At 44.1% G+C, this 24,819-nt stretch overlaps 1 protein-coding gene across 14 annotated transcripts in view; it reads right to left on the bottom strand.

Moving 5' to 3' along the window:
* Window positions 1–14,532: 14,532 nt before the first annotated feature.
* KHDRBS3 (KH RNA binding domain containing, signal transduction associated 3) overlaps window positions 14,533–24,819 on the bottom strand; it is a 199,061-nt gene continuing 188,774 nt past the window's right edge. For 8 of the 14 annotated variants that reach the window (XM_047421269.1, NM_006558.3, XM_005250758.4 and 5 more), the window contains one exon: window positions 23,439–24,056. In XM_047421269.1, the coding sequence (XP_047277225.1) occupies window positions 23,965–24,056 (92 nt within the window). In that variant the 3' untranslated portion in view covers window positions 23,439–23,964. Of the gene's footprint in view, window positions 14,824–21,124; window positions 21,138–22,450; window positions 22,510–23,438; window positions 24,057–24,819 lie in introns of those variants that run through there. The other 6 variants (XR_242372.3, XR_001745458.2, XR_928287.2 and 3 more) reach the window with 2 other exon arrangements.

Here is a 24,819-nt window from a genome sequence, read left to right as displayed (position 1 = left end):
GCAAAGCCAGGTAATTCAAAGCAGGCCACCTTGCTCCAAAACTTGAGCTCTTCCCATTACACTCAAGGACTGCCCAAGTTGTCTTAGTTCTGTGTATTTGTTTCCTATTTCTCCTGTAACAAATTGCCACATACTTAGTGCCTGAATGCAACTCAAGTTTATTTTCTCTCAGTTCTGTAGGTTAGAAGTCCAGTATGGGTCTCACTGAGCTAAAACCAAGCTGTGGGTGGGTTGTGTTTCTTTCTGGAGACCCTAGAGGAGATTCTGTTCCTTGTCTCTTTCAGCTTCTAGAGGCCGCCCACATTCCTTGGCTCATGGGCCCATCCTCCATCATCAAAGCACATCACTCCACTCCTAGGATCCATACTCACATCTGCTCTCTCTGACTTTGACCCTCCTGCCTTCCCATTAGAAAGACCCTTGTGATTCCACTGGGGCCCAGCTGGATCATGCAGAATAATTTCCCCATCTCACAATCCTTCACCAATCATAACTACACCGTCCCCTTTGCTGGGTGACAAAACATGTTTGCAGCTTCTAGGGATTAGAGCATGGACATCATTCTGTCTACTAGTTTGTGTTTCTCCCAAAGCAGCCCCTAAGACAGGATACAAACCGTTTCCTTGGGAGGTGATCCGGGGAAGCACAGTGGGACAGTGGGGAGGCTGGGGGACAGGAGAGAGGCCGAGAGAGGGTGTGCTTGTGAGCAGTCTCTGGTCAGGAGCCTGGGGCTCAGTCCCACTTGGGTCCCTCTGAAAAGTGGGGGCGGAACATGCTTCTGAATTCTCACAGCAAGAGGCAAGGAACCCAGGACATTCAAGTGCCACCCACCAGATGCCCTCTCTCACTGGCTGAGCATTTCTTCTGGGGGTGCCATTCCACAAGCACGTTCCTGAGGTAGACAAAACCACAGTACTTGAGGCAAGAAGCCACCAACATGTGTAGGGGTTGCCCACAGAAGCTTCTGGTGTTCTCAAAAGTGGCCGAGAGAGCGTCCAGTAGGACACTGAGAGTGTTTGTTAGATTTTCAATCAGATAACTGAGCCTGGAGAGGTTACTTGACTTTGTAGCTAAAATGTGAGGCAGAAGAGGGAGGGAGGAAATGAAAGGCAGTGAGGAGGGGCCACTAGGGCTGCCGGCACCTACGCAGAGAGAGGTGGGCCAGCCCCGACCCACCTGGCAGCCCCACCTTCTGTGTCCTCTCTGTGCCCATCCAGGGCTTTGGGCCAGAAGCAGAGTGGTCCTGAGAAACCCAGAACCACAAGATGTAAGGGATTGGGACAGGTTTATAGCAATCCTTCCATTTTCCACATGAGACTACTGAGGTTTAGAGGTTGGATGTGGCTCATCTAGAACTTTCTTAGGACCCATAACTGCAAAATGTAGTGGGGAGAAACATAGACCCAGGAATCTGCACTCATGAGAACAGGCTATCCAAAAAGCAAAACCAAACATAAAAAGACCTCTGTCTCCAGGATCACCTCATGAAGAACTATTTCCACTTGTGTTGTGGTCCCAGAGGGTTTGCGGGGAGTCCTGGCAGCTGTTCAGCCCCTTCCTTGGGTGCAAGAGGTGGCTTTGTCCCCCCAGAGAGGAGCTGAGCAGAGAAGGCACATCATCTGTAAGTGACCTGGCCCAGAGGTGGTGTCTGTCACAGGCCTCGCTTGCCATCAGGGAGGGCCAGGGGCCAGGGCTGGGACGCGATGCCCATCGGGAGTGAGAGAGCACCTGGGAGGTGCAGCTACAGCAGCCTCTGCTGCAGGGCCAGGCGGAGGGACCCTCCATCCCAACGCTGCCCCCTCCCGCTGCGGATCGCGGGCAAGCCCTAGAATCTCGGAGGGTCGTATCCCTCAGGAGTCAAGTGGGGCCATGGGTCCCAGCTGTCAGGACTACAGACCACACTCCCCGTGTATGGGTCCCTAGTGTAGCACCTCCCGCAGGAAATGCACCTGAGCTTAGGTCCCTTCTCTTCCTCGTGGATCTTGGGCTGATGCTCTTTTTATCATGCTGGGCTTGCTGTGACCAGCTGAATCCTCTTTTCTTTCCGGCTGAATTTACTGCAATTCTGATAAAACGAAGGAAACAACTTTTGTGCAGTGAATGCCCTCAAAATGGCCCCAGAAAAGGGGGCACAGCCTGGGTTGCCACTCCGTAACCCTCGTCCAACAACTGATGTCCTCCTGGCTCTCATTTCTCAAGGCCCAGTTCTCCTGTTGGAGGAAGAAGGGAGGCTAAGCCCCTTGGTGCGCCCTGGTCCCCAGCCCACTTCTCCTCTCACCCCGCACAGGATGGCCCCGATCTATTTCTGCAAAGCATCTATTTACAAAGCAGGTCACAGAGAGCGCTGTCACCTAAAAATAGAAAGTCATCACGGAGCAGACGAGGAGCCTGTCTGCATGAGTCGGGGCAGCTTCTGCTTTCCTTTATTCTCCTTTCTGCTTCTCTGCACTCCACTCCCCCTGCCACCCCTGCCTATAGGCTGAGGGGACCGTGGGGCACTTCTCAGAGACAGGGAGACAGGCCATGGGGTAGTGCCTGCTCTGTGCGAGGACTGGGGCCAGCTTTACCCAGGTTTTTCTCTCTTTCCCTTTCTTTCTTTCTTTCTTTTTCTTCTTTCTTTCTTTCTTTCTTTCTTTCTTTCCTTTCATCTTTCTTTCTCTTTCTTTCTTTCTTTCCTTTCTTTCTTTCTTTCTTTCTTTCCTTTCATCTTTCTCTTTCTTTCTTTCCTTTCTTTCTTTCATCTTTCTTTCTCTTTCTTTCTTTCTTTCCTTTCTTTCTTTCATCTTTCTTTCTTTTTCTTTTTCTTTCTTTATTTCTCTCTTTCTCTCTCTCTTTTTCTTTCTCTCTCTCTTTCTTTCTTTCCTTCTTTCCACAAACACCATGAGGCTGCTGCTATCATCCCAACTTGTTAACTGAGAAAACAGAGGCTCAGAGGATTATGGGACTGCCCTCAAATCACAAAGCCAGGCCCACCGCACCGCACTGACCCCATCACAGTCACAAGGGCATGTACCCCAGAACCTGGAAGGGTGGTTCAGGAGTGTAGGGGCGCCCTTCTCCTGCCCTCCTCCTGAGCTGAAATGCATCTCCCTGGTGCAGCCTGTACCTGCATGGTCCTGGGTTCACAGGCAATGCATCTCCCTCTCCTCTGCGGAGTCTGGCCCTGCTCTTAGTAGAGACAGGGCAGAGTGCTGGGTGCTTTGAGACCTCCCTGAGTGCATGTCTGTGACCTAGGCCTAGCATAGGCAGTGTCTGAATCTGAATTAGGCCATGGGTCCCGCCCTCTGGCTGGCCCTCATCTTGACTCTACCCTTCATAGCTCTCCCTCTCCCTGGCCTCCTCTTCCCAGGAACATTGAGCAGCTATGGAGGACCTGCTGTGTTCCAGGAGCATCCCCCCGCCTGTCCAGGCATTACCAACAAGGACGTACTCAGTGTGGTGGAAATGACTCGTTGGGAAGGGTTTAGGCAGTGGCTGGTCTGAGTCTGTAACTCAGGGCTTTGGGGGGCCACACGCTCACTGTGTCCTTGGGGTGTCCCGGCTTACTGGGGATCTTGGTCCTGTCTCACCACGATACGCCTGTTTGCTCAGGATTTCACTCCCTTGATCACGGAGAATGCCTGGCGCACCTGCTGTGTGTCTGGTGGAATCTTTAGCCTGGATAAAGAGGCCAGCTCTCTGGCAGGGGGAATCATCTCTTGTGCCTTCTGAGGATGCAAGGATAGAGAGAGACTGAGCACCAGCAGGAGGAGGGTCCCAAGACCCAAAATGTCCCGCATCCGCAGAAGTGCAGCCATCAGAGCCTTAACGCAAGACGTGAAGATGAGAAAGGAGCAGAACAGCCTGAGGCCCAGTGGGCAGGGAGAACTGCACTGGGGGGAGACTGGGGTGCGGGGGGGCTTTAGGGGGAGGGGTCAGCTGTTTGTTGACCCTTGTTCAGGTGTGGGATTTCTCCTGTCACCTGTAGCTGCTGTGGTAGGGCCCCTCCTTTCTCACCTGAAGGACTGGGAGGTGGGGGATGACTCTGTCTTCCGGGCTTGCTGCAGGTTATCAATGAGGGGCTGGCAGATGCCCACCCAGGGAACCTAGTGGAGGCGTTGCAGCCATCTGGAGTCCTGCCCCCCTCCTTCCCATTCACTCATGGTGGACTAGGAGACGGGCATAAGCAGACATTTTGCTGAGTGGTTCATGCAGCCATCTTACTGTGGTACAGTCACAGGACTGGGTTGCTAGTTATTCTAGCTAATTTGACTCCCTTGTGCCACAAAACAATGTATAGGACAAGGCCTCACTGCTTGGGCCATAGACGTCAACTGCAAATGGAAAATGAGGCTGAATAGTTACCAGCAAGTATCTGAAGCAGGTTGGCTGGGGGTAACAGAGAACAGGGGGGACCCCGGGCTGTGCCTCGGCCACACGGCCCGCCACCCAGCCGCCCATGAGGCACATGGAAGGCAGGCCGCAGTTGCAGATCATCCGCTCTCCCAAGAGAAGCCAGAAAGCTGGACGTTTGTGTGTTTGTTTGGCAATAAATGAAACCTAAAACACAGTGTGGCCCAAAAGCAACATGTTGTTGGCTATGTGGAAGCAGAGAAATAGGCATGTTGTTTAATAGTGTTGAATAGGAAAGAATTCTTTTAAGTATCTACAATTTGACCTTAATTATTCAGTATAATAGATGTGTAGGCAAAAAAAAAAAAAAAAAAAAAGATCTGGGGAAATAAATATCCTGTAATACAGTTGCAGCGGTTAGTTTGAGCTGGAGGAATTAAGGGGTGGAAGGAACAGCTCACCTCAATCAAGCCAGTGTGGTCTTTGGAATGATTAATGCGGCCTGTGTTCTTCATGTGGAAAGCTCCTGGTTTCCATTATGAACACCGGATCCCTCCCAACCTAGAGTACGCAGGAGGAGGCCTGTGCTGCCCAGCACTCCAGGAACTGCCTCGGATTTTAAGCTTCCTCTAGGGATGCTTCACAGACGGTGCTGTGCGGCCAGAGGCCCAGGCAGCAGGAGCCTCAGCTGCCTGGGCTGTGCTGCCTTTTGCTTCCTGCTTTTGAAGATTTCTGATCTTACCTCTGTGATCATCTTTTGACATTTTTGGAAACCATGCCCTTTGTCCGCAGTGTTTTCGTGAAAGGGATGAATTCTCTTTGGCCAGGGATGCTGATCTCCCCTAGACAGCTCCAGGCTGCTTCCCCAGGGGCATGGTTTGGGGAAGTCAGGGGTAGAGAACAAATTAGCACATCACAGCATTTTGTTTGAGATCACCCTGAATTTTGTTCAGCTGACATACCATATTAGACTAGAGAGCTAAACAGTCTTTGTCTGATTTTTGGTTTTTAGAAAATGTGTGTGTCTGTGACTCTCCTGTCTACCTTCCCCTCTTCTCTCCCTCCCTCTGAGTTTGTGAGCTGCTCGGGATGGGGTATGTCTTTCCTCCCTACATCTCCTGCACCCAGCAGAGGCCAACACATAGGAGGTGCACATCAGCGTTTGGTGAATGAATAGGTGAGGCACAGTTGCCTGTTTTCCATGTAACTTTTCTACTGCCCATGGCCCACTTTACCAATCTCAGGCTTTGAGAGTCCCTCAGTAACGTTCTAGAGTAGGTAAGGAAGTATCTCCATTTTACAGATGAAAGGACTGAGGCTCAGAGAGGGATCTTCCACGCTGCTTAGCTGACTGATGGGAAAAGAAGTTGAAAGCATAGCCTGGCTCTGGAGAACCAATCCAGTAACAGGACATCAGAGGCCGGCCTGGACACACTCTGTATCTGACACTGATGCGGCCAAAGACTGGAAGAAACTGGCAGAAGAGTGTCTGGGGTCAGCCTCTCGGTTCCTGTTGTTAGGCAGCTGACCAAGGCTGGTAAGCAGCTCCAGAGGGGGCCGGAATCCTCTGGAGGGAAGAAGGCTAGGAAGATTGCCAGGCGGGCAAGGGCTCAGGAAGCAGCAGGTAGGGAGATGGAGAACCAGCCAAGGAAACCGGGGTAAAGCCCCAGCAGAGACAGTGCAGTTTCAGGCAGGCTGTGACTCACTCGCATGACAAGTGGTGGCAAATGCTCAACAGGTGCACCAGGCATGAGGAGCGGCCGCTGGCAGATTCTTGGCCACATGTGCTGGTGGAAGGGGAGAAGCCATGGGCACATTCTCTCCCTTAGCAAGCATTTCGCTTGGCTCCTGCTGGTGTGTAAGTGTCCTCACCCCGCCCTTGGAGGTCACTGCCTTAGAGGGAACACGCCTCAAAAGGCCAGTGCTATGCCAGGTTTTCGTTGCAAAGATGGGCCACCCACTAGCTGTGTGACGTAGGGGAGGCGTGTCAGCACAGAGGAGGTCTTGCAGTACGAGTGCCTGAATGAAGGCACTACACTGCTGCTGCCTCAGGAGAGGAAGAGGGGACACAAAAGAGTACCTGTGAGAGAAGGAGGGGCAGTTTCCAAAAGGAAAAGTCTTCGTGGCATGCCAAGGGGATCCACGCACGCCAGCCAGCCAGGAGGAAGCTGCAGCCTGCAAGTCCATGCTGAGCTTCTGCAGAACCACAGCCGACAGCCCATAGGGAACGTTAGGCCAGGCCCCCACACCCCGAGCAGCAGCTGCTTCTGCAGCAGCCAGCAAGGTGCCGGCGAGCAGACACTGCATTTCTAGCCCCAGTGCAAACGCTGGGTTCATGAAAACCCCACCACTCCAAAGTAGCTCCTGAAATGTGGTAACCGGCGAAAGCCTCTGCTGTGTGGCACATGGAGGGATGCCAACCCTTTTCAATTTTATGTATGTACCTATTTTATCTCTGTATCTCTGTTTGTCTGTTACCTCAAAAGAAAGATACCTAAATAGCAAAAATGCAACCTAGTAGAAGAGACTTCTGAGTTTCCTGCATTCGTTAGCAGATGTCCCTGTTTTCCTGGTGAGCTGGCTATGTGGATGCACCGTTCTTAATGGGCCCCTCACTGGCTACGAGAGTTTGGGATTTTGAAAGGGACTCAGAGCAGAGAGTGAGCTTCGCCAATATCTGAAACTGCAACATTTCTTCCATTTGTAAAATTATCTAAACGCCTTCAGGGAACATGGGAAGCATTTCTCTTGTCAATGAAATCTTCTGATGTTAATTAATAAAACTGTACTCCTTTGTGCTATAAAAATGTGTTCTATATTTTTATATTCTGCACTGCTGTTGATGGCCTAACACTCCTAGAAGGCTGTGCGGTGGCCGGCAAGCCTGGGGCTCAGACCTCAGCTCCACAGGCAGTGGCTGTGAGGTTTTCGGGTGGCTGTTCATCACCAGTCTGTTTCGCCGTCTTCCAGTTCAGGCTACACACACCCACCTTATGTGGTTCTGGGAGGATGCTCTGACTTCAGTGAGTCTTAGGAGGTGCTTGAGAAATGTAAGTTCCCTGCTCCTCACTACACCCTCCCACCTGCAAGATTTCTACCTTTCTCTATGCCTGGACAAGGGGAAGCACCTAGGGAGGCAGATGCAGGGGATGGGGACACTGGGGCATCCAGAACCAGGTTCCAGGCGCTGGGTTGGGGGAGAGGCAGACACGCAAGGCAGGCACCTCCGCGCAGCGTGAAACCACCCACTAGATGGAAGGGCTGGGCTCTCGGGGCACATGTTGGGAAGAGGAAGGAATATCTCTGACAGGGTCAGGGACGCCTTTGGGATCGAGTGACACTGCAGGTGAGGAGGACCTGGACGCCGTGGGTAAGAATAGACCATGGAGGTGTGTGGGGCCAGCTGCAGCGTTGGAACACAGTGAGTCCAGTGGGCATGGAATATGGGGAGGGAGCAGCGCGGAGAGGGAGGCTGGGCCAGAGGGTGAAGGGCATGAGGACCAAACCAGGGAGCTTGAGCTTTACCCCAGAGGCAATTAAAAGGGTGTAAGGGGTTGGGAAAATGATTTGCACTTTAGGAAGATTAATAGAAGGCATGATAAAGGGCAAATTACAGATGGGTTACAAATGGAATAGACACCTGAGGAGTGTCGCTGATGCTGCAATCATCTTGCAGAAATGATGTGGCCCCCAGCCAAGGCAGGAAAGAGGGGAAGATGTGGATCCGGCATGGAGGATCAGTGGAGCAGCAGAACTGCAGGAGGTGAAGGGATGGCTTCAACATTCTACACTGGTTCTGTGTGTGTGTGTGTGTGTGCGTGTGTGTGTGTGTGTGTGTGGTGCGGGAGTATTACCCTGATAGAAATGGCCAATAGGTATCAAGTGCTTACTATGTGTCAGGCCTCATTTTAAGGGCTTGGCAGGCATATCACTAAATTCTGGCAACCCCTTGAGGTAGGCAGTACTATCGCCGCTTTGTAGTGAGGACACTAAGGCACAGAGATGTAATGTACCTTGCCCAGGTGGGAGCCAGCCTCCAAGACAGTCCTCCGTGGCCCTGCCTCCTGGCATCCACACCCTTGTGTTCTCCTACATGGCACAGGAGTGGTGTTTAACAAATTGCATGTGGTAGGAGCGATGTGAAGTCACTTCTGAAATGAGAGTATAAAAGTCTGTGGCTTCTGTCTTGTGTGCCCCTCACATGGACTCTCCTTCCCTTGCAACACCTGCTCTGGGGAAGCCAGATGTCATGTTGTGAGGACACTCAGGCAGCCTCCAGAGAGGCCCGTGTGGCAAGGAGTGGAGACATCTGGCCAACAGACCTGTGAGTGGAAGCTGAATTTGCAAGTGGATTCTCCAGCCCCAGCCAAGCCTTCAGATGACTGCGGCCCCAGTTGAGTTTACTACCTCCTGAGAGGCTGTGGGTCAGGATCACCCAATGTGACAGTATTCAGAGGTGGGGCCTTTGCAAAGTGACTAGGTCATGAGGGCTCCATCTTCATACAGGATTAGTGCCCTTCTGAAAGGGCCTTGAGTGAGCTCCCTTGTCCCCTCCTACCATGTTAGGTCACGAAGAAGGTGCCATCTTTAAGTAGAGAGCAGCCCTCACCAAGACACAGAATCTGCCGGTGCCCTGATCTTGGATTCCCCAGCCTCCAGAACTGCAATACATTTCTATTGTTTACAAACTACCCAGCCTAAGGTATTTTGTTATGGCAGCTCCAACAAACTAAGACCAAAATTGATACCAACAAGTGGGTTAATGCTGTAACAAATACCTAAAAATGTGAAGTGGCCTTGGAACTGGGTAATGAGCAGAGGCTGGAAGAGTTTTGAGGTATACTGCCATGACAGGAGCCTTAGGGGTGATTCTGGTCAGGGCTCAGAAGAGGAGAGCTGTAGAGGCCTCAATCCTCTTGAGATGACCTAAATGACTGTGAACAGAATGTTGACAGAAATATGGATGGAAAAGGTCATTCTGATGGTCTCAAACAGAAATGAGGAATGTATTACTTGAAACTAAAGGCGAGGCCATCCTTGTTACAAAGTGGCAAAGAACTTGGCTGAATTGTGTTCATGTCTCAGTGTTTTGGGGAAGGTAGAAGTTGCAAGCGATCAAATTGTATATTTAGCAGAAGAAATATTTCTAGGCAAAGTATTGAGGGTGTGGCATGACTTCTCTTGACAGCTTATAGTAAAATGCAAGAAGAAACAAAGATGAAATTTATAATCCAAAGGGAAGCAGAACAAAAATTTGGAAAAATCTCAGCCTGCAGAGAATGAGAAAATGTGTTCATGAGAGACTCATACCAAAGGTGTAGCAAAGAGACCACTTGATAAGGAGATTAGCATGAATGGGCAAAGTCTGGTGCATTTCATCAAGACAATGGAAGAATGACCCTGAAGGCATTTGAAGATCTTGGGAGGTGGTACTGCCTAGTGGAGCTGTGGGTGGGGGCAGGACTACAGCAGAGAGCCCCCTTTAATGCAATACCTAGGGTAGCCATGGGAGCAGGGCCACTCTGGAGACCCTAGACTGGTGGAGTTACCGGCATGAAACTCCAGCGAGAAAGCCGCAGGCGTGAAACTCTAACCTGTGAGCGCTGCCACGTGGGTTACACCCAGCAAAGCCATGGAGGTAGAGCCCTGTGGATCCTTGGAGGCCCAACTCCTACCCCAGTGTGTCCAGAATGTAGAACTTTTGAGTTGAATATTATTGTGGAGCCTTAAATGTTTGCCCTGTTGGGTTTTGCATTTGGTCAGGATCTATTGCCCCTTTATTCTTTCCTATTTCTCCCTTTTGCAATGGAAGCCTATCCTATGCCTGTCCCACCATTGTATTTTGGAACCACATTTGATTTCACAGCTGGAGAGCAATTTGCATCAGAATAAATTGTACCTTGAGTCTCAACCATATCTGATTTAGATGACATTGTGGACTTCAGACTCAGGAGTTAGTACTGGAAAAAGTTAAGACTTTTGGGGTCACTGGAGTGAAATGAATATTTTTACATGTGAGGACATGAACTTTGGGGGTCCAGTGGTAGAATGCAGTGGTCTGAATGTTGATGTCCCCCTAAATTCATATGATGAAACCTAGTATCCAATGTGATAGTATTGAAAGGTGGGACCTGAGGAGTTCAGGGCTGCAGCAAGCTATGACTGCACTACCGCCTGTCAGCCTGGGTGACAGAGCAAAGACCCGGTATCCAGAAAAAAAAAAAAAAAGAGTGATTAGGTCATTAGGCTGCCCTTAGGAACAGGATTAGTGCCCTTATGAAAGAGGGTCACAGAAGCTCCCATCCTTTTATCCTCTTCTGCCATGTGAGGACACACAGAAGGTGCCATCTTTGAAGTGGAGATCAAGCCTTCAGCAGACACTGTATCTGCCGGCACTCTGGACTCCCAGCCTCCAGAACTGTGAGCAGTACATTTCTATTGTTAATAAATTACCCAGGCTAAGGTATGTTGTTATAGCAGCCCTAAGGGACTGAGACAAGGGCTTGTAAAGCCTAGCGGGAGGACAGAAACTGTTAGGATGACTCTAACATAGTCTGATGACATAGGTATGGGGTGTTGTGGGTTAGAGTTTCTGGGGCTAAGTCTTGAAGAATGAGTTGGCTAAAATCTTGGGAGCTTCACTGTGCTGTGAATGGGTGAAAGGTGTACAAAAACATTGATTTTCTTCAGCTTCTGGGGCAGCTTGGGGCTGGGTTAGGGTTAATAAGCTCTGGGTCTCCTCCACTCACCCCAATGAGTTTTGTATATATTATAATTTTCTTTACGTGCCATGCCCTGAAAAAGTTGGGAATCACTGGGTTAGAGGAAGCCGAGTGAGGTGGACCAGCTAAAGGATACATGTGAAGAAGTGAAAAAGATCAGCCAATCTGAAGAGCTACAAGCCGCTCCTAGTGGCCCTAGTGAAGAATACATGCGGGTGTGGAACAGTGCCTGCTGCCAGAGACGCCAAGCAGAAAGCCAGGACTTTCATGTCGGCTTGGTGGTGATGATACCCAATAGTGTCAATGGACACTATGGGAAAAACTTGGACCTCCACGTGGCAGTAAGGAGACACCCTACTCCCTCCCAGCTGGGGTGGTGTCAGAGAGGCGTAGTGGAGAGTCAGTTTTATCATCCACTGCTCAGTGGTAATGAGGCCATCACACACCCACATATCATGCCAGTGGAGTCAGGGTGGTATCAGTGGCAGCTTTTTAAGACCTGGAACCTACCCAGCAGTAACAAGAAGGCCCTCCTTCCCCCTCCCCTTGTCAACAGAGGCCAAATGGGGAACCTGGACCGTTTCTCCTTCCACCTGGCAGGAACAAGGCAGCACCTCCCTTCCCTCACTAAAGCCCTAAGGAGGCCATCTAAATATGATCCAGAATCTCCTAATACCTAAAATGTCCATGTTCTGGTTGAAAATCACTCATTCTATTGAGAGCAGGAAAATCTTGAATAAAACGACAGATAGCAATGCCAAGATGGCATAGAAGTTAGAATTTACCTGATAGTTACCATAGTGGAAATTTCAGGCTAAAGAGGTAGGTAGGAGGAAAATCATGAAGGAACGTGTGTGATAACCCAAGAAATCTGCAAGTTAGCCTGGAAGCTGTAGGAGGCTCTGAAGTATTTTGGTCATGGTAGAACATGCGCCATTTAATGTCTACGTCATATAGCTTTGGCAGCAGCAGAACTGTGGAACCTATTGGCATGATGAGTGCTATGCCCTCTGTCTTATCTACCTTCCTGCTTCTGCACCCACCTAGGCCGTGCGTGCACAAAATGTGTGCGCACAGACCTGCTCATGGACATCTCTCCAGCAACCCTCACTTATCTCTCCTACATACTCAAGCTTTTTCTCTCAACTCTATACCCCTCTCCAACAATTCCTTAAAGTAAGATCCTTGAAAGAGTTGACTAGACTAATTCCTTTCCTCCCATTCTTCTTGAATCTGTTCCAAACCTTCGCTCTATGAAGTAAATCAAGACTACCGATGACTTTTCTGTTATTACTGTGTGTGTCCAATCTTTACTCTTCATTTCTCTCGACCTATCTATCTGCAGCAAAGGATCACATCCCTTTTCCCTGAAATGCTTTCTTCAGCTGTCTTCCAGGGCATTACTCTTGGTTCTCTTCTTCCTTCATGGCAGCTCCTTCTTGGTCTCCTTTTCTGGTTCCTCTTCATCTCACTGACTTACAAGTGATGCGACATTCCATGGTCTGTTCTCTGATCTCCACTCAAACTACAGCTTTAAATGACATCTATATTTTGACGGTTCTTAAATTTCTATCTCCAGCTGAGATCTCTCCCACCTCCAGATCTGTATCTCAAAACTTAACATAATCACCTTGTCCTCCTAAAATGTCCCCATCTCAGAAAGAGGCAATTCTAGTTTTCCAGTGCCTCTGGACCCAAATCTTTGGATCATCCAACTTAATTTCTGTATCTCACAACCAATCTGTGCACTAAGTCTTACTGGCTTTACTTTTTCAAAATACACATGAAGTCTGGCCAGTTCTCAGTGCTTACACCCTACCACCCCGGACTATGCTAGCATTCCTTCTTACCTTCATAGCAGTGGCCTCCAGTGGGTCTCTCCACCTTGCCCCATAGGCTATTCTCAGACACTGCCAGAGTGGTTCTGTTAAAATGCACATTGCATCACACTACTCCTGTGCTTGTCAACTCCTCCTCCCATCTGCCCATCAGCTCCCATTAAAGCTCAACACTGGCACTTTATTCTCTGGCCCCCAACCAGCCCACTGATTTCATTTAATTCTTTGTCCCTTGCTCACTCCATTACTTCTGCTCTGGCATCCTTGCTGCCGGTCCTCAAGTACCCAAGCATGCTCCCACCTCAGGACCTCTGCACTTGCTAGTCTCTTAATGTAGCTTAGTTCTTTACTTTTTATGGCCCCTGCTAAAATGTTACCTCGCCTACTCAAACTAAAGTCTAGCACTTCTTCCTGTTACCATGGTCTAATTTTCTCCATGGCTCCGTCAGCACCTGACATTCTCATGGTGTTTGGCCTGTTCCTCCCAGGGGGATCTAAGCTTCTCCAGGGTAAGACCGCCTCTGTTTTTTTTCTCCGCTCTCTCTCTAGTATGTTAGACGGTACCCAGCAGTTAAGTTCTCAATAATGTGCTTAATGAATTAAATAATGTAGGCAGTAAAGTAAGAAGCCAAAATTAGGTTGTAGGAGTGGGATCAAGGAGAAGGGGACAGATGGAAGTTAAGTCAGAAGGTTTGAATCCATGGGATTTTACTTGTAGATTTGTGAATTGTATTAGAGACTCAGCAGGTAAAAAGGAAGCAAGCAAAAAAAAAGTTCAAATTCTTTTCAATTTACCATAGTCTGACTTATATTCTAAAGTTCCTATTTGTTTAAAATTAATTCTGAACCAAAGGGTGCCTGAAGCTGCTTCCTAGCTGTCCGTAGCTCTCCTGAGCTCGCCCTCATGACAGACATTTACCCTTCACTCTCGCACCCGACTCGCCGCAGAGAGCCACCGCTCTAACACACAGGCTTGTATTCTACGCGTTTCTGAGAGAGAAATGTGTACTGGACACATCTAAAAGGTACAAAAGAATTATGTTTTAGGATGCATACGAGGATAAGAAAAAGCTAAGCTATTTGAAGTCATTCTGTCGTTAACACAATGCTCCAAACATGGCATGCTGTAAAAAGTGAATGCCTCAAAAAAATGTGTCTTTGAGGCAAGAAAGCAACAATTTAACAATGTGCAAGACAGTTCTTAAAATTCCAAGTCCAGGGAACATGTTGTGTGAGCTTCTAACAGAAGAAATACAACACATCCTCCCGGGGCATATTGAATTAAAATCACAATGCACTAGTAAATGATGAAAAGAGAATGAAGAGAATAATACTGTCCACAGGGATTATGACCTTTATGTTCCATAACAAATTACACTGAGGCATGAAAATCATGTTTCTATTCTGACAGTGCCACTCTGCTTCCCGCAGAAGCCTTTATAATTAACCTTTTATGTGACAGAATACTTTTTGCATAATACTTTCATATTTATTAGTCCATAACTGAGATGGATAAATCATTTTCAAATGTGGAATATGTGTAGAATCTTGACTTCTTGCAGTGAGTTGCAGCTGTACATGGTTTTCAAGTGTATACAATTTAGAGCTGTGCTGAAATAACAAGACTTTGTTTTTCTAGGTTTAAAGTAGAAGAGATTTCAATAGGCAGCCTTTATTAACTACTATACAAATCATTCTCTTTTTGTTATTGGGAGTCAACAAAATAAGATAGATTTTCTTTCCGTTTTTTAAAAAAGTAGGTTCTCCAAATTAAAAGCATACCATATAATAAAAACATGTCACAGAACACAAAATTATGCAAACAAAAATTAATTAAGATGTTTTTCAAGTTCCCAAGTGGATTCATTTGCTGACTAGGCACGTTGGTGAGTTGACGGTTCTTAAGCAGTGCATAAATAGAAGGAAAGTTCCTGAAAGAGAGGAAAATGAAATATATTTGTATATATCAAGAAATTAATAATAACCATATGCTCTGTTGGGAATGGCAGGGTTTAGAGGATTCAGGCAAGTGGACACTTAATAGAAATAAGGACGTTTATGGAAAACAATGCAAAACAGAATCGTTAAAATTAAGGACATAAAATATTTGTGTTCAATAAAGACAGACAAATGATTAACTGGTTTAATGATGATTACACTACTATCCATTATGATATTCATGGAGTGATTTCAGCATGGCAATGCCTTGTTTTACATAAAACCTCAAATATTAACCTATGAGTTCCTAGGGGTCCACCCTGGCAGAGTCCTTGCATTCTTGTCACCTGATAAGAGACTGAACTTTCAGATATATTTTAAATTGTATTACCTAACCCCAAAGAACCTATTTTGATGTGTCATACGAAACAAAACTCTGTTATTTAAAAAACTGGCTGGTGATCAGAAAAACAAACAAACAAACAAACAAAAAACCCAATCGCAGCAGAGAAATGGCCATTGTGGTGATGTTGACTTCTCACGACTCTGGTCATACAAGTCCCAGGCCCTAGGTAAGTGTTTGATACCACAAAGTGTGCTCAAAACAACTCAGGACATCGCCGATGGCTCCATAGGACCCAGCCCCTTCCTCTGTCTCCAGATGCATCTCTTTCATTTCTCTCCCAGCATGTTATATTCCAGCAGCTGCTTATACGTTCCTAAAACACATGACGCCATTTCATGTCTTGGTTGACACCCTCCTCTCCCACCTGTATTAGCTTATTATGTCTTCACATTTTCTCCTCCCTTCCTGGCTTGCAAGATTTCGACTTTCAAAACTCCATTCAGGTTTTATTTCTTCCTTTGTCCTCGGAGCAAGTTCATCCCTTTCTCCTCTGCACCATCCCTGCCCTTCTCTAGCCTTTTATTGCTGCAGAGTGCCAGGGACACGGTGGGCGTCTCAGTGTCACCTGCATAAAGCATCAGTACTGCTAGGATGAATCAGATGCAAACTGTTATTTAAAGGTGAATCCTCTAAAAAGTTAAACATCTAATACAGTAAATCTATTGATGAGGGCATTGCCTTAATTAACCAATAAATATTTCTTGAATGGCTTGTGCTGAATGCTTTCAGGTTTATAAAATGTGACAGACACACCTGTGACCCTCAAGGAGCATACAAGGGATGAAGGACATTTACACAGCACCATCCCATCAACCGGCAGGTCAGAATGAGACATCTGCCAATCCAGTCCTCTCAGCCAGGATTCTCATGCGGAGAGAAGAGAAGGCTCTTTTGGCTGAGAGAGATAAAAGATCTTGAAGAAATGGGAGGATCTGGATAACCAGAGAAGAAGAGAGGGTGGGCAATGAGCCCGTGCAGGGGAGTGCTAGAGGAGATCCTGTCTGTTTCCTCAGAGAGCCTGTCGGCCTCTCCTGCTACCCTGGTGTGGCCACCTTACTTTCCACAAAGCCTGCCCCACCACGGGCCAGCCCTTAACAATACACTTGCTGATGTAAATAAGCTCCAGGAATGTGAGGAGACCAGCAGGAGTCTGAGGAAGGGTCGCAGGACTTTCAGCTCTCCCCATAAGACACAGACGAGTGTCCAGGAGGTGTCCTTACTGGACCCAGCACGCCCTGCATCTCTTCGCTAAATCACACAGGGTAACCAGCCTGCCACATGCCAGACGCCATGCTGTGTATAAAAGACCATTTTAAACCAACTTTTGAGCAGATGAGTTTCTGGTGTGGCCACAGGAGCTAATCTTATAGATCATAATGAATACATGTAGCATTTAGATAGGTTTCTTTTACAAAAGCATATGAAGATGCACCATGACCTCTATGGGAAACATCTATAAAAGCCCAGTAGGTCTACTTTAAAAATTCATTCCACAGATGTTTATAAACATGGCTTCTTGCATTGCCTTTAATGTGAGCAAAATATTAGAAACTAACTACATCTCTGTCAGTAGTTGTTTGGATTATGGCTCTTTCATATAAATATTCAGCCAATAAAAAGAAAAAGGTAGCTTTCTAGTATAAAATAACAGAAAATGAGCTCTAAGACATACTTCAAAGTGAAACAAGGGGAGAAAATGGTATATTGTTTTCTATGTAAAAAATAGTGATAATTTAAAAAAATGCTTTACTTATGCACAGACTATCTCTGGAAAGATACATGAAAATCAATACAAATAGTTACCTGTGGGTGTGTGGGGGTAAAGGTGGGAATTAACACCATTGTGTGTATATATTTTGTACCAAGCACATGTATTACTGACTAAATAAAGGGCATATTTTGGTTTTCCAACTTCGCATTTATCATTGAAAAAAATCTAATGGTTAGAGAAATATCACACTTCCACTAAGAAAACAAATTAATACAAATGCTCCTCATCTTAGGATGGGGTTATGTCCTCATAAACCCACTGTAAGTCAAAAACATTAAGTTGGAAATGTATGCAATACACTTAACCTACCAAACATCATAGCTTAGCTTAGCCTACCTTAAACATACTCAAAACACTTACATTAGCATACGGTTGGGCTGAATCATCGAACACAAGGCCTATTTTATAATAAAGTTTGATATCTCAAGTAATTTTTGAATGCTGTACTCAAAGTGAAAAACAAAATGGCTCACTGCCATTGCCTGGCATGGCAAGAGTATCATACCACTATGGCTAGCTGCAGAAAAGATACATATTCAAAATCTGAAGTACAGTTTCTACTGAACATGTACTACATTTCCACCACTGTAAAGGGGAAATGTTCTAAGTCAAACTATTGTAGTAGGGACTGTCTGTACTGAAAAGTGCTCAGTGTCAGTGTTTCAAGAATTACAGGTTCATTTGTTCACTCATTCGTTCCTCACTGAACACCCTGTCAGTTCCCACTATGTCTATGTGCCAGGCAGTGTGCTAGGATTTGGAAGTACAAGTCCAATAAGACATGGTTCTTCTATCTTTAAGGAACTTCAAGTCTTGCAGTCAGGGAGAAAAACCCACCAACAAGCAGAACAGAAATCTAGCCTCAGGATAACACCACCATCCCCGCACACTTCACAATGGTACCTGTTTGTTTATTCTATCTCCTTGTTTTGACTGTCTGTTAGGTACTAGGACCTGTGTTAGGCAGCAGACACACAAATCCCGCCAGCAGCAGTTCAAATGAGATAAACACACAGGACAGAACTTAATAACCTGGTAAGTTCTCCTCAAATGAAAGGATGACTAATTTAATCGAATAAGGCCAAACAAGACCTAGTACATTGTCCTGTACTATCAGCCACTGAGCTACCACATCCACTTTATTCACTCATACATCCAACGACTTGTTCATTTACCACTTACTAGGCATAAGGCATGGTAATTGCCCTAAAGATATTTACAATCTGGTGGGAGGAAAGGAGGGTAAACAGCCAATCTCAGGATGCTGTATTGCAGAATTCATAGAGCAAGATGAGGGTCCATAGTAGAGCTGCGAAGATGGCAGGCTAGGGAGGGCCTCCAGGGTGAGGGGATGCTTCAAGCTCCACTGGGAAGTCTGGATAGGCCAGCAACAGCTAGCTAGACCAAGAGCTGGGTAAGAGTTGTGTTCATTCATTTGTGTGCATTTATTTGAGTGGGGTACGGAACTGTTACTTCAGGCAGAGAATGGCACTGATAGAAAAGCTCTAGATGGTTTTCAATCTATCAGGGCTGGACCACAGTGGGCTGGGGTCAGAGCATGCTGTGCTCCAGGCGGCTGGGCAGGCCAGCAGCAGAATCACACACGGCTTGAGGTTCAGAGCCAAGGAGGCTGAGCATTATCCTGAAAGTCACCGAAGGACTCATCACATTAAGATCTGAAAAATGATTTCAGCAATGGATGCTAATCACTGAAATACATTACTGAGATTTTTGAAACAGGAATGTCAGTCAGAATCAACTTCAACTGGACGGGATTTTCCATCGATAAGGGAGGGTGAAATTCAGATTGAAAAATGATCTGTAGCCTTTCCCAATCAGAAATAGAAACAGAATCAGGCATAAAATAGACTGTTATTTTAAAATAATGATGGATTTTTTCCTTTCTGTCCCTACAAAACACTGAATATCAATATAAATAGTAGATATTGTTTGCACAGAAAATAAACTTTATTCCTTAAATTTGTCACATATTCTATAAAATGTCTCATATTTTCATTTAACTTTTGACTCTACAATTTTATTTTTTCTTCAAATCATTAGTTTTACATTCTGGAACCTGTCTCTGTATACAGTGACCAGAGTCTTTCATTTTGAGTTAAACAAGGGAGCTAGACTATCTAAATTATAGTATCGTTAACATGACTGTGTGGGTTTTTTGGGGTCTGGGCTAACCGTTCCTAACACTGCCTGTTAGGAATCATCTTGCTCACAGTGACAATACCATTCACTTACTAAACCCTTACACTGTCAAATAACTATGTGAAGAGATGGGGACAAGAGGATGAAAAAGTGAGAGCAACTATTTTTTAAGGCACTGTAAAATCACTAACCAGTGGAAACAGAAGCTTGTAGAGTTCTTTTTGGAACACAGACTAAATGAGGCACTATATCTGCCCAAGGGAATGGAGTAGGCCAAGCTTAAAGGCAAAGAGGATACTACACTTGAAAATGGTTGCACTGAATTTGAGCTTCTTAGCAGAACCTACAAGACCCTTCATTACATGTCCCTTGTCCTACCCAGCCAGCATGGTCTCTTACTTTCTCTAATTATCTAATATACCTGAAGTTTCCTCAATGATCATGTTTTCTTATAATTGCAAATATTTACATATAGCAACCAATGAGTGAACACCTTTATTTGTCCCAGGCATGCTTCTAATCTTCACAGCAATACTAAGGTATCATGACTATGATATTTTATATATCATATATATATATAAATATATATATAGACTATGTCTATTTTATAAGTGGGGAACCTGCAGTTTAGACTCTTGTTTAGAGAGGTTAACTTACTGACTCAAGGTCACAAAGCGGGTGAAGGGCAGAGCGGAAGTATGGATGCTCTGAGAGTACCTGCCCTGTGTGGTTATCTTCTATTGGTCTTAATATCTCCATGGGCCCCTTCTGCTACCTCTGACCAACTTGCCTGGGTTACACATCTCCCTTCCATGTGCCTAGAAAGCACATGTATCTCTGTCAGAGCTTTACAGACGTGGTCTTTGCCCATTTCCCCAGTAGACTGTGGCACTTGCAAGGACAACAATGATGTCTTTAATCACTGTCTTCCTACCATCTGCAACACAGCAGGTGTTCAGGAAATATATCTGAGTAAATAATGATACTGACTTGACTTGGAATACCTGAGTATAAGAAGATTCAGAACCTAAACAAGTGAAAGACTCTCTCCATGAAGGAATCTGGTGCAGGGGCGGGGTAGAGAAAGAGAAGGGGGCAGTTATCACAATGCTCAGTGTTGTGTGAGATACTCTCTGGGATACAAGGTAACACAAATTAAAGGCTTCTGCTCTTAAAGAGCCTTTAATCTAAGGGAGGAGCCACTGTAATATAAAGAATGACAGTATAACAACATGGTTAAGATCAAAGACTCTGGATTGAAGTCAATCGGTTCAAATCCGGGCTCTACCAGTTATAAGGTACATGAGCAACATAAGTGTGAAATTCACCTCCTGAAGCTTAAATTTCTTCCTTTTTAAAAATGTAGATGATACCTTCTTATGGCTGTGAGGATTCAATAAAATAATCTACAGAAAGTGATAAGCACATGCTTGGCTTTTATGGCAACTTACAACCAATATGTGTCATATGATACCAATACTAAAATGAGGAAATATAAACCAAGCATGCTCTTTAGAGAGGGTGGAGGATCACAGCCTGATTTAACTGGTGAGGACATCATGGAAGAGAGGGCATGGGGCTGAGTTCTGAAGGACGGGTATGGTTTCTTCATGCAAAGATACAGGCAATAGCAAAGTTGTGTGTCATGGGGCTGTCACCTCCATTCGGTTTTGCGGTATTTGAATACCGGGTTCCATGTCTTATCAGTCTTTGTATGACCAGTGCCTCTGTTGTGTCCAGTATGGAGCTCATGTTCCATATATGCTGCCATATGAGAAAATAAATGAATTCCAAGGGGGTGAAAACAAAGGTTAGGGGGAAGCGATTTGGGAACAATGAAATGTGCTCTTAGAGACGTGAGAAGACTGGCTTATCTATAGCAGGGTCTTCCCATGGAAATAGAAAAAAATCAGGTCTGGTGGAGCATCAGCCAGATAAGAGAAGATCTCAAAGGCCAAGTAGGAAAGTTCCTGTCGGATAGTGATCTGGGCCTTTCTGGGTCACAATTCCTTTTACAGTCTGATAAAGCTATGGAAGCTTTGAAAAAATGACAATAAACATAAAATTGTACAGTATTTCCTGTTAATTAACTCTGAATAGCACCTGAGGATTGACCCTCTACCTCTCCATAATTCTTATTATTCTGTATGCCAACTCCTTAAAAAAATTATTTAATAAAGAAAAAAATTGTGAAAAATTTCAATAACATCACACACTACAGAGATGTGGTGGACGTCACATTCCCATTCCGTACAAGAGAAAAACGAACAACAACAAAAATCCAAACAGACAAACAAACAGAAAATACAATAAACTTAGTTTGGTCTACAAAAATGATGAGAATTATTTTCTTTCTAAAAGCAATTTAATTATTTCAGGCTAATTTTGGCTATTAGGGAAAAAACCAAGCTCACATATTTTTCATATATATTAAATATGTGAATACAACTTTGACAATTAAACTTTACATGATTGTATCACTTTCAGGTTACAAAACACTCTGATGATATTATCTTAATTCTTCTAACAACTGCATGGGATAAGCATCATTTTCACTGAACTGATGGAGAAAGTGAGACTTGCCCAAAGTCACACTGCTAAGTGGCAGAGCTCAAATACAAACACTGAAAAAGTAAGACTCTCTGGAAGATCAGGGCCTAAGTAGTATTTTTTGATGCTTTAGAAAAAAAATCAAGAAAATGTAAAAAGAGAGACAAAAATAATAATACTTTTCCTTTATAGGTCCCCAGATTTTTACATTTTATGAAGTAATTTTTATAAAATACATTTTATAATACTTATCATTTGTTTCATAAAATTCAGAAGCACAGAAAACCATGTTTCCATAAGACTAAGATAAATACTGTCAAAAATTTCCAGCATATCTGTGTAATTTTTTTGCCTATGCACGCACATAGAAAACTAAAATTGGGATATTATATATTAAATTTGGCAAACTGCTCTTTTTACTGAATAATCTGGAATTTTTTTTTTCATGCTATTGACTAGACTGCTAGATATTTTCTGAAGAAAGTAATCTGAATATTTAAATATCAGGATGACCTGAGCCTCCAATCTCTGCCGCTTATAATGAAGCTTCCTGGGTCTGACCTGTTTACATTCAGGAAGCTTCTTTTCTGACCTTTGGAGTTAATCTGACACAATCACTAGTGTTGTACTAGGAAACCAGCAGGGGAAATTTTCCATGTGACTTCAGATAAGTGTGAAATTGTCTTCATCTTCCACACAGGTCAGGATAATTGGAACAAAAAGGCAAACTTACCTTTGTTTGCTTCAGGTGTTCAACCAGTTCCTGTGACATTCCAAGATGGCTGACATTTCCTAACAAAAGAAAAGACCTTTTTACTCAACATAAACAGAAAAAAATCCCCCAAGAAATAAAAATTAAACATTTTACACAATCTACAATTAAAAAAGCTTAATGATTAAAGAATAAACTTTATTAAATATTTGTCAGTTTTAAGAAGTGCCCTCAATTACTAACCAAATAATGTATTACAAATAACTAGTTATGAGGTTTTACAGTTGTTTAATAGGGAGTAATTGGCCCCAATTAAACTGACTAAACTAAGGCTTTTTAGATTACTAAAACAAATTAAACTTTTTAAAATGAGAATTTAGGTGATCTTAAAACTTTTCTAAAATGGATAATGAAACTTGCTAAGTTGTAATCTTCCTGGTTTTATTAGTTATATTAAGATAAATTAAGTGAGATTAAAATCTTATTTGATTTATTTACCTTTGAAAATGAAGACCGTTTAAGGGTTACACATCCTCAGCCTTGGCGAGTGCGACCTCAATTAGTCAAGCCAGAAAGTCTTTAAAAGCTTTGTGCTTAGTGCTTCCAGCATGGAGCGAGGTGTTCATTAAGGTACCAAAATTCTCATAAAAAATCCAAAGTTGCACTAGTGAAAAAACGCTCAACAAGATGAAAACTGATCACATCTTTTTCAGAAAATCCAGTAGTTATTTTAAAACCAGTTTTTAAACAAGATTTGGTTTTGCGTAGTTTAACGTGCCACTCAAGCAGCTCGATACCATTTGGACTCTTTAAACAGCATTTAAATCTATGGTGAGTATATAATGGTACATTTAATTTTATACCATTTTTAAAATAAGTTGTACAATGTTTAGTGTGACCCTTTTATGACAAGCATTGTTAAATGAATTCTTTCCCTGTTTACAACTATTTATGAAGGCCTTTTTAAATAAAAAAAAACCCATGAAATTGTTAGCTCACACACACAAAATTTCTTTCAAAAGTTTATTTAGTATCAAGCAAGAGGAGACTTTGCTTAACACTACAGAACATTTCAAGACTTGAGTTACAAAAGAATACCACATTATTTGCACTTGTAATTGGCTTCCCTTTTTACGCATGTTGGCAAGAGAAAAAAAAACTAGCATATGGCTGAAAGATAAAATAACTAAATTCTATGGAAACCTTTAAAATGAAAGGTGAGGCTTATGTTAAAAGAATAGATTAACATATTTAGTAAACCTATTTTTTGTTTAACACTAGTTAATCAAAGTTATTTTTTTTCCTTTTGATGACCTATTTTTTCATATACAGACTGGAAATAACAAAATTTTACATGTCTTTTTTTTTTTTTTTCTGCCCAGGTTGATGTTTCAACAAAGTAGTTTTAAGTTCCATCCATTCAGATTTTAAGCATTCTGATTTATTTAAAAAGGGATTGTTCATAGAAAAAAATTACTTTGAACAGTATACAGGACTGGTGGAGATTGGCTATTTCACAACATCAGACAGTACAATCAGTATCTGCCATATGGCTGGTCTCTGTAGACGCCCTTTGCTGTCCTCGCTGAAGGTGCCTTGTGTCTTGAGTTAGTCCACTCTTCTTGCCCTACAATCAGTAAGATGAATCACAATTAGATCACTGCCATGAATCCCACAGGCTTCATTTTTCAGACTCTAACTTAGCCCTGAACCAAAGGTACATGTCATATTGAAAATATATACCCCTGGTGTACTGAAAAGAAAAACAAACAAGGAATTTACTTAAATAAATTACAAACACAAGGAAAAATAATCATCTCACTCGCAAAATTCGTCAGCGTGGGAAGATAAACGGTTCTTGTATCTGAAATGGTAACCAACTTCGCAAGGACTTTCCTTTTGGTTACTCATTTAACAACAGTTTACAAGCTCAAGTAGCAAAGAGAACTGCCTTTTGCTAAACATCAGGACATTTATGAGTGAAAAAGAGAATGGGAAAAGGATCACTTAGATGTCTTCCAACAGCAAAAACAAAGAAAAAACATAGGTAAACATCTGTGAAGACAAAGAAGAAAACCGGAGAGCAAAACGGGAAGGGGCAGACTGAGAAAGGGAAATATGACCTCATTTTTCACAGGCGCTTTCACGGAAAGACTGAAGGAAAGTTGCATTGGGTTGAACTTCACTTCTCAATAGCACTTCATGAATATGAAATGAATTTAACGACATAATGTCAGATTTCATTCATCATAATGCTAAATCCGTACTGAACAAAGGTATTAATAACCAGGGACATTCTATCATCTTTATCTCCTGAAATTAAACACCTGTTCAGCCTGAAGATAACTTTTAATGAGTTATCTATAAGTCTTGGACATCAAACAGTTAAC

Source organism: Homo sapiens, chromosome 8 (assembly GCF_000001405.40).
Source record: "Homo sapiens chromosome 8, GRCh38.p14 Primary Assembly".
Lineage (NCBI taxonomy): Eukaryota > Metazoa > Chordata > Mammalia > Primates > Hominidae > Homo > Homo sapiens.
This window is presented reverse-complemented; position numbering and strand designations above follow the sequence as displayed.